The sequence below is a fragment of the Homo sapiens genome, chromosome 11 (assembly GCF_000001405.40).
Source record: "Homo sapiens chromosome 11, GRCh38.p14 Primary Assembly".
Lineage (NCBI taxonomy): Eukaryota > Metazoa > Chordata > Mammalia > Primates > Hominidae > Homo > Homo sapiens.
In genome coordinates this window covers 59521990-59535260 of record NC_000011.10, presented here as the reverse complement: position 1 = coordinate 59535260, position 13271 = coordinate 59521990, and the positions used below count along the sequence as shown (strand labels likewise).

The window sequence follows — 13271 nt, the reverse complement described above, 5'->3', positions numbered from 1 at the left end:
ATTAGCTGTGGTGCTAGGGTGCCTGTATTCCCAGCTACTCGGGAGATTGAGGTGGGAGGATGGCTTGAGTCCAGGAGGTGGAGATTGTAGCAAGCTGTAATTGTGCCACTGTACTCCAGCTTGGGTGACAGAGCAAGACCCTGCCTCAAATTAATAATATAATATTAATAATAAAATAAAAAATAAAGACATACTCTAACTTTAATAAGGCACCCATGTGTCCAGGATCATACATAAGCAAGTGTGAATTTTGTCAACAGTGTCTGCCTTGCTTTGACTAGGCCACTGTGCTGAAGCATTCCATCCTCTGTAATTGGGCCCCTCAGGCTACCTTTGACACTCTGGGCTTGGATTTGTTCCCCTCAGGTCCACCCACTGAAGCTTTTCTGTTCTACATCTCCTTTACCCTGGATGACCCCTGGGGCCTTTCAGAAGTCACCTAGACCATGTGAAGTTAATCCCTTGAGAGGCATTACTGAGAACAGACTTAGGCATGCTCCTGCCCCTCCAACCCCTCCATCGCAGCTACCATGTTTTTCAGGTTGCTTTGACTGGAACTATATGATTTGTGGAGCTGTGGCATTGTATGTAACATGGCCTCTGTGAACCGTGTGTAATTTATCAAATATCTCAAGAGCAGGAATTTCAGGCCAGCACTACCAGAGACACAGTGGGCAGTGTTACGCCTGGTTGGGATGGGCCATGCTTTAAGGCAAGTTTTCCTTGCTTGTGTTTCCTCCTCAATCACACTGAGCAAATGGTTCTTTACTTCTCTTACATGGTTCCAGCCACAGGTACGTCAGGATTGCCTGGGAGGGAAGACTGGAATTTTACAGGTCAGTCAGCATTTCCAGTCTAAGTTTTAGTTTGTTATCAATTTCAACTATTTGCTTCACAAAGAACTAGATTTCCAGGAGACCAGTTGGAATTTAGTCTTGTTTTCTATTCCCTTAGGTTAAGGAGGAGGTGCTAAAGAATAGGATAGAAAGAGGAATGAGGAGGAATTTGAAAGGGGCTGCTTTGTGATCCTCTAGCTAATCAGTCCCTGGATGATGAAAAGAGTTTTCTTAAGCCTTTGCATCTTGTGGACATGTGAACTAGGCATATTCTTTTTTTTGGAGACAGAGTCTCGCTGTGTTGCCCAGGCTGGAGTGCAGTGGCATGATCTTGGCTCACTGCAACCTCTGCCTCTCGGGTTCAAGCAATTCTCCTGCCTCAGCCTCCCAAGTAGCTGGGATTACAGGCACCTGCCACCATGCCTGGCTAATTTTTATATATTAGTAGAGATGGGATTTCACCATGTTGGCCAGGTTGGTCTCGAACTCCTGACCTCAGGTGATCTGCCCGCCTCGGCCTCCCAAAGTGCTGGGATTACAGGCATGAGCCACCGTGCCCAGCTGAATTAGGCATGTTCTAGAGATGCAGGCAGGATAGGGTTTCTTCCTCCCTCGAGGTCTGGCCAGGAATGAATGGCCGTAAAATGACATTGAAATTCTTAGAGGGATCTGAAGCCCTGCAATACGTACTATTTGGTCAGGTGAAAAGGACAACCAAGTGCCTTTCATGACACTACAATAGAGGAGGCATTTTTATAAATGAGCTTGTTTCAGACTGCATCAAACCCTGCATGAAGCAGCAGCAGTAGTTAAACATGCACTTAAATGAAGGTCAGATATGACAGATCTAGCTGTGCCTCTGCCGTTAATTAGCTAAAAGTTTTTTTTTTTTTTTTTTTTTTTGAGATGGGGTCTTGCTCTGTCACCCAGGCAAGAGTGGTGCAGTGGCACGATCTTGGCTCACTGCAGCCTTCACCTCCCAGGCTCAAGCTATTCTCCCACCTCAGCCTCTCAAGTAGCTGGGACTACAGGTACAACCACCATGCCTGGCTCATTTGACACTTTTTTTTTTTTTGTAGAGATGACCTCTCACTATGTTGCCCAAGCAGGTCTCAAACTCCTGGACTCAAGTGATCCTCCTGCCTTGGCCTCCCAAAGTGCTGGGATTATAGGCATGAACCACTGTGCTGGGCGATCTTTGGTAAAATATGAAACTTCTTAACTTTGGCAACGGGAATTCAGAGGCTTCCTTAGAAAAACGGAACTTGAATCATCTAAGGTTAGCAATGGAAAACCAATATTTTTCATAGGGAGAGGTTACTGGATTTTATAGCCTTGACTCCTGGTCCCTGGAAGTGATTTTACTAATGATTGCCTGGGCAACACATGGTACAGCCATAGCTCAAGAATTGAGAGATAATTTCCTCTCAGGCTCCATTTCCTCACCTGTAAAATGAGGTGTTTGGGTGATAGAAGCTTTAAAGTTCCTTTAGGAGCTGACAGTTTAGAGATCTGAAACTCTAAGCTGCCAACAACCTCACTGTGAGAAAACCCTAAAGTGATGATGGACTCAGGAAAGCCTTATCAGAGGACTCTGCTCTAGGACAAAGATAAAACTTTGGCCTCTAGATGGCCTATTGATTGAAGCCTTCTATTGTGTTATGAAGAAATACTTTTCAGTTCTGATTTTCCAATCTGGACTTCGTAGCATCTATCCCTTTCCAGAAGGTCTTTTCTTCCGCCTCCTCAAGGCTGACTTCATCTCCTGGTTCCTCAGGGTGTAGATCATGGGGTTCAGGACAGGAATAATGACTGTAAAGGTGATGGAGACAGCTCTGTCCGTGGGGAGGGCAGTGAAGGCTGGGCATGCACATAGATGCAGGGCACGAAATGCAGGGTCACCACAGTGATGTGGGAGGTGCAGGTGGCGATGGCTTTCCTCCTGCCTTCCTCAGTGTGAGACCTCAGCATCATCAAGATGACCGTGTAAGATATGAGGAGAAAGATGAACCACAGCATAGAGATCAAGCCATTATTGGAAATCATTAAGACCTCAAGAGCAAAGGTGTGGGTGCAGGCAAGTTTGAGGACCTGGGGGACATCACAGTAGAAACCATCAATCATATGATGTCCACAGAAGGGAGTGGGAGCAACAGAAATACCTGCACAATGGAGTGGACAAACCCCCCACCCAGGAAGCCATGATGAGGCCTGCGCCTCACTCACGCCCCCTACTCACGATGTAGGGGAGCACTGTCCCCTACTCACGATGGTCACACAGTGCAGGGGCTTGAAGATGGCCATGTATTGGTCAAACGCCATCACAAAGAGAGAAAAAACGTCTGTCCCACCGAGGAGGTGGAAGAAAAACATCTGTGTCATGCAACCATTGAAGGAGATGGTCTTTCTGCTTGAAAGGTCTATTAGCACCTTCCGAGCAGTGATGGAGGAGAAGCAGATAACCAACACAGAGAGATTGCAGAGCAGGAAGTACGTGGGGGTGTGAAGGCGAGACTCACAGGTCACCACGACCATGATGAGGAGGTTACCCAGCACAGTTGCTGAGTACACAAAAAATAAGAAAAGAAATAAGACCAAGCTCAGCTCTTGGGACTGGGTCAGTCCTTGAAAAAAGAGATTCCTTCACCCTGGTGTAATTTCCCTGCTCAATGGGATCATGTTTCTTCTTGTTCTTCAACCACCTGGGGAGAGATTTTGTTATAGAAGGCCTATCATTCAAAACAAAAGAAATGTGAGTTGTATGCTTTGGGGTATTTTTTTTATTTTTGAGACGGAGTCTTCCTCTGTTGCCCAGGCTGGAGTGCAGTGGCGCGATCTCGGCTCACTGGAAGCTCCGCCTCCCGGGTTCACGCCATTCTCCTGCCTCAGCCTCCCGAGTAGCTGGGACTACAGGTGCCTGCCACCACGCCCAGCTAATTTTTTGTATTTTTAGTAGAGACGGGGTTTCACCGTGTTAGCCAGGATGGTCTCAATCTCCTGACCTCGTGATCTGCCCGCCTCGGCCTCCCAAAGTGCTGGGATTACAGGCGTGAGCCACCAAGCCTCGCCACTTTGGGGTTATTTTAAGGGTTTATTTCCCTTTTAAACATAGATGCCTACACTTCAGGGCACTGTCTCCGGTGGACGGTGTTTCTTGAGTTTTCTCAGAGCACATCGAAGAGTGGGCTTCCCAGAGTATAATTAATTGAAGCATATATGTATCAGTGTATTCATATAATTCTATTAAAACTTTCATTTTGCAAAATGTTATATATTCTCTGTTCCTCTTGAAAATTTACTGAATTCTGGCTGGTGCAGAGGCTGACGCCTATAATCCCAGCACTTTGGGAGGCCAAGGCAAGTGGATCGCTTGAGGCCAGGAGTTTGAGACCACCCTGACCAACATGGTGAAACCCTGACTCTACTAAAAATTAGCTGGGTGTAGTGGTGCGCGTCTGTAGTCCCAGCTACGTGGGAAGGACCAAGTGAGCCCCTGGAGGTTGAGGTTGCAGTTAGCTGAGATTGCACCACTGCACTCCACCCTGGGTGACAGAGAGAGACCCTGTCTCAAAAAACAAAACAAAACAAAACAAACAAAAAAACTAAAACGCCTGGCGCGGTGGCTCACGCCTGTTATCCCAGCACTTTGGGAGCCCGAGGTGGGCGGATCACGAGGTCAGGAAATCGAGACCATCCTGGCTAACACGGTGAAGTCCTGTCTCTACTAAAAATACAAAAAAAAAAAAAAAAAAATAGCTAGATGTGGTGGCAGGCGCCTGTAGTCCCAGCTACTCGGTAGGCTGAGGCAGGAGAATGGTGTGAACCCGGGAGGTGGAGCTTGCAGTGAGCCGAGATCGCACCACTGCACTCCAGCCTGGGCGACAGTGCGAGACTCCATCTCAAAAAAAAAAAAAAAAAAGAAGAAAAAAAAAGTATCAATATGGATTCAACTGTTAACAAATGAGGGATAACTGTGGTGTTGGAGGGGTGAGGAGGTATATGGGAACCCTATAATTTCAGTTTAATTTTTCTGTGAATCTAAAGCTGCTTTAAGAAATAAAAGCCAGCCGGGCATGGTGGCTCACGCTTGTAGCCCCAGCAGCACTTTGGGAGGCCGAGGCAGGCGGATCACGAGGTCAGGAGATCGAGACCATTCTGGCTAACACGGTGAAACCCCGTCTGTACTAAAAATACAAAAAATTAGCCAGGCGTGGTGGCGGGCGCCTGTAGTCCCAGCTACTCGGGAGGCTGAGGCAGGAGAATGGCGTGAACCCGGGAGGCAGAGCTTGCAGTGAGCCGAGATTGTCCCACTGCACTCTAGCCTGGGCAACAGAGCGAGACTCCGTCTCAAAAAAAAAAAAAAAAAAAAAAAAGAAATAAAAGCTGTGCGTGGTGGCTCCTGCCTGTAATCCCAGCACTTTGGGAGGCCAAGGCGGGTAGATTTTCTGAGTTCAGGAGTTCCAGACCAGCCTGGGCAACATGATGAAAACTAGTCTGTATTAAAATACAAAAAATTACCTGGGCGTGGTGGTGGGCACCTGTAGTTCCAGCTACTTGGGAGGCTGAAGCACAAGAATTGCTTGCATCCGGGAGGCGGAGGTTGCACTGAGCCGAGATTGTGCCGCTGCCCTCGAGCCTGGGCGACAGAGTGAGACCATTGTTTCAAAAAAAAAAAAAAAAAAAGATATTAACTTTTAAAAAGTAGATAAGTCAAAGGATAAAACAATTAGAGTACAAAGTAAAGAAACACTCTTTTTAACTTTTATTGCCAAACATCACTTCTTGTAAATCCTAATTTAACTCCTCCTGCTTTCCACTCTGTTTTAAAAAGAACATTTAAAATAAATACCAGTTTGGGTGCTGACAGGCTTCTGGATGTCTTTTGTGTTTTGCAAACTGCTTAAAATGAAATTGCCCCTTGCTTTGCTAAAGTATAACTTATATATTATAAGCTGCACATATTTAAAGGGTACAACTTGATGAGTTTTCACACACACACACACACTTACACACACACACACCTGTGAAACTGACACTACAATTAGGATAATGAGTATCTCCATTATCCCCCAAACCTCATGCTCCTGAGAACTGCAGAACTCTCCGCATATAGCTCCGTCGAAACCCCTGAACTAGACCAAACTCTCACATGGCTTCTAGCAGCATAAGGCTGTTTCCTTAGAATGACCGCAGCCCCCCATTAAATGCCTGCTTGAGTAAGCTCAATACTGCCAGGAGAATTTACGGTTTGTTTTACCCGAACCCTGATGATAGGCCTCTGACCTCCCTTACTTAGAGCATTTACAAAAAAGGGCTTATGATTGTGAACATGCATCTCTTAGAACTCAGAAATGTCTTTCTTAAGGACCTGGGAGCCATTCCTTTGAAATGTAATTATCAAAAAGGATGAAGCCTCTGTCTTCCAGTCTCTGTGGGAGGGTGGAATCCTTTGATGATTGCCAGCTAGCAGACACAGCTGGCCTCATCGCATTGACACTGACGAACCGTTTGCAATTTTTCACTTCTCTGACTCTATTGAGACCTCACACTCGCCCATTCTTCATTCATTCTCCCTGTAAAATGCTCGAACCACCTCTGCACGAATCACAATGGAGCCCAGCTCATTCCCCTACTGTCAGTAGTTACTGAATAAAATCTGTTTTTGCCGCTTTAACTAATGTCCCACTGTGTGTATGTTTGATGTGCCTTTGTACACTTTCCCTCCATGTTCTGCCCATACTGAGGCCAATGTCTGGTCCTGCTGCTAACCGCTGAGCTCTCTGGATTTCACAGTACTTTACCTCTCATTGTTTCATCAGAGCACAACTTCTACTCAGCTAATTTACCTCCTATGATCTTCCCTTTGAAGTTCAAGCAACACAAAGCCAATTTTCTAGGCTGACTCCCAATTAATTATTAATCCATCAATAACTCAGCGAATGTCATCATTTTCAAACATTTTTCGTTTTTAAAAGGCCAGGTATTTTCTTCAGAGTAAATATTTAAAAGTATTAAGAAAAATCAGAACACAAGATAATGCATACAAGTTTTTTTTTTTTGTTTTGTTTTTTTGCTTTTGTGTTGAACTATAATCAGAAGTAATAGGGTATAGAGAAAAGACACCATCTTGGAAGTCATGAGATTTGGATGCCAACCTTGCTACATTCATAGAGCAATGGTAGAATATTTATTTTTTCGAACTCCTGCCTCAGCCTTCCAAAGCGGTGGGATTACAGGCATAAGCCACTGTGCCCTATCTTGAGAAAGATTTTTAACAAAGTGTGGAAAGAAGGGAGGTCTTTGTTAGCCTGGAGTTAGCTATAACATTCAAAGAATTAGAAATTCCCAAATGTAAAGAAGGAGCAAGCAGATTGAAATAGTCAGTTTTTTGCACCTTAAATCACAGCGGAGGGCTCCTATCCCCAGGGACGTCTGTTAGAAGGAAGCAACCTGTTAGTGCCCCTGAGGCACAAGGGCCTCTTCTTGCCATTCCAGGATCGAGTGGAAAACTGCATCTCACCCCTGCAGATGCCATTTTGAATGTAAATGTGATTTGTTTGTTAAAGAGATTACCTGGCACCAATATATTCACAGGTCAGGTTTGTCTAGAAATAAAATCTTAGTTTTGAATGTGGTTTATGCAGCACTTCACTGGTACCTGTATTATGAAATTCTAAAAAGATGAAATCTATGACAGACCTATGTTAGTACATTTGACTCAGTCCCAGGGGTTCCAGTTCTGAGGAGGCCTTGGTCTGGCTAGAGGATTAAAATTGGATTTCTCATGAGGCTAATGGAGCTTAAGCCTTGTAGCCCCTTATTTGAGGAGCCCAAGGCCCTGGGAAGTGCCCTAGCAATATGCTCACAGGGTCACATGTTTTTGTAGAGCTTGCAATAGTAAAATATTATAACCACAATCAGCTGGGGCTCCTGTTTCTTCTCTGAACTCCCTTCCATCACAATTCTTAGTTTGGTGGCTTTAGAGAGGTCACAGGCATTTTGGGGATCTAGTTAAGGTGAGGTTGAGTTAGGATACACTTATTTTGGATCTAGCAGCATGCATTTATGTGATTTGCAGTCACTTCCGTGTATTAATGTCAAGATTTTCATGGGTCAGTAAATGATAGAAGTAGGATTAAAACTGAGCTTGACATTCATATGCTTAACGATTAATCAGTAAGCCTTGGGTACCTTTGCTTAAAGGTATGCTAATGTCTTCCGAGTCAACTTCTAGCATTTGACCCCAGTTCCTACCTTCTTACCTGGCTCCAACACTTTCCTTTCCTTTCTTGGTTTTTCTTTCTTCTTTTTTGGTTACTGCCCTGCCCATACAGTGCTGTTCCTCCAAATTGAAGTTTGCTGGACCATATCTGTGCTCATGCTCTTCCTCGGCCCCAAATGCCCTCAACTAATTATATTTATGCTGGTCCTTATTCCATTTTTATTACTTTAAATTGAGATACTAGCAAAAGGCCAGGTGCAGTGGCTCAGACCTGTAACCCTAGCACTTTGGGAGGCCGAGGTGGGCGAATCACTTGAGTCAGGAGTTTGAGACCAGCCTGGCCAACATGGTGAAACCTCGTCTGTACTAAAAATCTAAAAATACAAAAATTAGCCGGGTATGGTGGCAGGCGCCTGTAATCCCAGCTTCTCGGGAGCCTGAGGCAAGAGAATTGCTTGATCCTGGGAGGCAGAGGTTACAGAGAGCCGAGATCATGCCACTGCACTCCAGCCTGGGTGACAGAGTGAAACTCTGTTTAAAACAACAACAAGGCCGGGCGCGGTGGCTCATGCCTGTAATCCTAGCACTGTGGGAGCCCGAGGTGGGTGGATCACGAAGTCAGGAGATCGAGACCACCCTGGCTAGCATGGCGAAACCCTGTCTCTACTAAAAAATACAAAAAGTAGCCAGGCATCCTGGCGCATGCCTGTAGTCCCAGCTGAGGCAGGAGAATCGCTTGAACCCGGGAGGCGGAGGTTGCAGTGAGCTGAGATTACGCCACTGCACTCCATCCTGGGCAACAGAGCGAGACTCCATCTCAAAACAAACAAACAAAACAACAACAAAATGCAATACCAGCATCAATGAAGGTAAAATAAAACTGAAAACAAGAAAGATATTGATGATTAAGGGGTTGATGAGTATCATCAATTCATGGAGTGTTTAAGATTATTCAATGCTCTGGCTGGGCTCGGTGGCTCACGCCTGTAATCCCAGCACTTTGGGAGGCCACAGCAGGCAGATTGCTTGTGGCCAGGAGTTTGAGACTAGCCTGCCCAAAATGAAAAACCCTTTCTCTACTAAAAAAGCACAAAAATTAGCCAGGCGTGGTGGCACACGCCTGTAATCCCAGCTACTCAGGAGGCTGAGGCAGGAGAGTTGTTTGAACCTGGGAGGCAGAGGTTTCAGTGAGCTGAGATCGTGTCACTGCATTCCAGCTTGGGCAACAGAGTGAGACTGTCTGAAAAAAAAAAAGCCTTAAAGTAAGTGATCAAAGGTGTTAACAGATCTCTTAGAAATAAATTAATGTTGGAGATTTCCATATTGTTTATACACATATATGTGATATATCCCATTGTTTGAATATATAACAATCTCTATATTATTCCATATTATTTGAGTATATAGGTATATTAATATACATATATATTCAATCACATCAATAACCATGTGTAATCAGAAAAAAATAGTGAAAATACTTAACAAACGGATTTCTTTTTCTTTGTCTCTTCAACTGAGGGTTGGCAGTTAAGGGCTATCTAGTCTACATCTGACTCTAGAATATATTCATTCTGCAGTATCCAAACTGCTACAGATATATACAAAAATCTAGATTATTTGCACGACTCCAACTGTGTTTCTCATACCTCACATAGGCAGGTTTATAAGCTGTTATTGAAAAGACCAATACACATGATAAAAAAAGAAACAATTCAAGGATCAGGGTTAAACTCAGATCCAGAGCATATTTAAGAACCAAGGGGTGTGTGAGTTATCATACTTAGGGCCATCCAAATGCAGGTGGGGAGGGGCAGACAGCAAATCTGAACTGAGCTATTTTTTCTGGGTTCTTTGCTTGCTGCAGCTCATTTAGCTCTGACAGCAATACTTTGAGGTAAATCCTTTGTTTTACAGATAAGGAAACTGAGGCTAGGAAAAGATAAGTTATTTGGCCAAGGGTATACAGCTAGTAAGTGGTGGACCCATGTGGATTGGGATGATTCAGAATTCCGTGTGGGTTTGATTGGAGATCTGCAGAAGAGCTGAACAGAGGCTCCTAGATTTCCTGCAACCTCTGCCTGTGTTAGGTGCTTGGGACAGTCCAAGGGCACTGAATTGGGTCGGGAAAAATTGAAAATGAGAAGTGTTTGATGTTCCTTGGGCTCCACACATGGAAAATTAAGAAATTGGGAAGCAGATAAAACTTGCATGGTGGGGCCGGGCGCAGTGGCTCACACCTGTAATCCCAGCACTTTGGGGGACCGAGGTCGACAGATCACTGGAGGTCAGGAGCTCAAGACCAGCCTGGCCAACATAGGGAAACCTTGTCTCTACTAGAAACACAAAAATTAGCCGCATGCGGAGGCGCACGCCTGTAATCCCAGCTACTTGGCAGGCGGAGGCAGGAGAATCTCTTGAGCCCGGAAGGTGGAGGTTGCAGTGAGCCAAGATCATAGCACTGTATGCCAGTATGGGCGACAGGGCGAGATTCTGTCTCAAAAAACAAAATAAAACAAAACAAAACCCAACCAAACAACAACAACAACAACGACAAACACTTGCATGGTGGGATGTGTGTGGTTCAGTAACTTCAGGTGAAAGAAAAATATGAGGTGGATCTAAAAATATTCTATCATTGCTTTCTGTCTTAAAAATGGGACTAATGGAGTCCATTCATTATGTGAGATTCTGTAAAGAAGTGAAAGTGATCAAATCACCAATTCAACTGAAAAATGCCAAAATGGTGCTCTTCCATGCATAACATTTATGCACAATTAAAGATAAAAGATAGAGAGTGGAAGGATCAGTGGGAAGCCCTGTGAATGCATGTGTCTGTTTGCAACAGGAAAGAAGAAAACAGAGAAGTATAGTTTATGAGTTTTCTCCTGTTTTTGTTTTTGGCAAGAACAAACTGAGGACCCCCCAGTTTGTTTCTTAGAAATATGCCTACGTAAATCCATTCTACTAAAACAGGCTTACTGAATTTTACAGCATCTCCAACCTGGAGAACCCCTCGACTCTATTGTCCACAAAGCATATATTGCTCTCTTTCTCTTAACGAGTTGACCTTTCTATGCACTTCAAGTCACCTTGCTAATATTGAACAACTAATTATTCTGCTCTGCACCCCTACAATTTTTAGCTTTAATGTATGTCATTCTACACCTAGTAAAAGCATCATTAGCATTCAATACATTTCTAAGTAATCTACAATAATACTTCAAAATTGTCTGTGCATGGGTGCACCTGCATAGATAAACATTTAGACATACAAGCACACACCACAAAGCTCTAACTTAACACAATGTTCTCATTTGAAGTCCCCACCTCTAATACCTACCCAAGAAGCAGAACTGGCCATTTGTTCTGACCTTAGGAGTCATTACTTGTCAAGGGCTATTCTCCTTTAAGGCAGATCTGCATCTGAGGGTTGGTTGGTTCAGTGTCTTCTCCCCTGCAGGCTCCAAGAATCGCCTCTGCATGGCTCCAACACACTGCCCCACAGTGGGCCTGCCATGAATACCAGTCCATTTGTATCAGAGCCAGGGAAATGATCACCAAAGGGAATATATTTTTGGATGTGGTTTTTGAAGTTGAGCAGCCAGAATTTCCTATTGAGAAGAAGTTCCACTGGGAGTTAGTAAGAAGTCAGACATCACTGGTAGGTGTGTGCAACACACATATTTTGCTTTTGCAATTCTCCCAATGTAGGGGATGAGATGAATCCTTACAGACTTTGTGCTTAGAGCCCCAAGCTTTCCCTAAAGAGGTCATAGGGGACTAAACTGGAGTCTATCTTCTTAAGAGGTAGGAACTTAGGGAAAAGGAATAGAACTCCTAGTATTGTGTGTTTTATCCCATCCTCTTTTTTTTCTGGGCAGATGATTTTCTTGTTGTCCTTTTTTTTTTTTTTTTTTTTTTAATTTGGAGATAGAGTCTCACTCTGTCACCCAGGCTAGAGTGCAGTGGTACGAACTCGGCTCACTGCAACCTGCGCCTCCCAGGTTCAAGCAATTCTCCTGCCTCAGCCTCCTGAGTAGCTGGGATCACAGGCATGCGCCACCATGCTGGGCTACTTTTTGTATTTTAGTAGAGATGGGGTTTCATCATGTTGGTCAGGCTGGTCTCGAACTCCTGATCTCAGGTGATCTGCCCACCTCGGCCTCCCAAAGTGCTGGGATTACAAGTGTGAGCCACCACACTGGCCTGCTTGTTGTCCTTTTAATGTAGATAATCAGAGGATCATAAAGTCTAGGAAACACATTTTCTTCCTTGTTTTCCACCAAACTTCTCATGTGAAGAGAGGAAATATACAGACATATGATGCGTTGGTACCACTCATTCACCAGATATTTAATTGTGATCTATTTTTTGAATACCCATCATCTTCCAGTCCTGAGGATTCTGAGGTCCTAAAAGCAAATAATTTCATTTTTTTCCCCTCAAAAACTCTTGATCTCAGCTCACCCCCAATGTAATTTTTGAAAACTCATCTCTGAAAACTGAGAATAGCCTCCAGCAACAGCCACTAAGGAACTGAAGCCCTCAGTTCAACAACTCATAATTCTGCCCCACAATTGTATGTGTGAGTTTGGAAATGGATCCTTCTCTAGTTGAATCTTGAGATGAGACTGTGGCTCCCAGCTGACACCTTGATGGTAGCCTGTGAGAGACCCTGAAGCCCACAACTTAGCTAAGTTGTGTCAAATTCATGATCCACAGAAACTGTGACATAAAAAGTATGTTGGTTTTTTGGTTTGTTTTAAACCACAAACTTTTGGGGTAATATGTTATGCAGCCATAGATTCCTAATATAACACTGAATGAATAATCTGTTTTATTGAGCAGGAACTATGTTGAAAACATTTTCTTTCAGACTTGAAAAACAAGCAATGCAACAACAACAACAAAACTCTGTAGACTTCTCCAGAGTAGCACTTTGTGATGGAATTTTGTGGATGCTTACCCATGGGTTCTGTGGTTCTGACTATAGTAGCATCTTAGAAACTAAGCCAAAGCAATCTGAATCTTCTTTCAATTTCTTAAAGAAGACCCAAATGTCAGCATCATTCCTAAACCAGGATAACTCCTATGTCAGTTTGAATATATAGATGCATTTATTTGCTTATGAAAAAATACTGCAGAAATTTAAAAGAAGCCTTCCTTGCATAGAAAAAACAAAATATGCTAGGACCATTTACATGATCTATGTA

At 44.0% G+C, this 13271-nt stretch overlaps 1 pseudogene, besides 2 other annotated features; it reads right to left on the bottom strand.

Moving 5' to 3' along the window:
- Nucleotides 2550-3563, bottom strand: OR4D7P (olfactory receptor family 4 subfamily D member 7 pseudogene; annotated as a pseudogene).
- Nucleotides 6366-6867: an enhancer, noted in NCBI's record as "OCT4-NANOG-H3K4me1 hESC enhancer chr11:59295867-59296368 (GRCh37/hg19 assembly coordinates)". NCBI's record gives its function as "activates a minimal SCP1, AML or CMV promoter by ChIP-STARR-seq in naive H9 embryonic stem cells {active_cell/tissue: H9 hESC(naive)}" and the evidence as "EXISTENCE:reporter gene assay evidence [ECO:0000049][PMID:30033119]".
- Nucleotides 8847-9128: a silencer, noted in NCBI's record as "fragment chr11:59293606-59293887 (GRCh37/hg19 assembly coordinates)". NCBI's record gives its function as "represses an EF-1alpha promoter that drives an FKBP-Casp9 reporter gene in an ReSE screen in HepG2 liver carcinoma cells {active_cell/tissue: HepG2}" and the evidence as "EXISTENCE:reporter gene assay evidence [ECO:0000049][PMID:32094911]".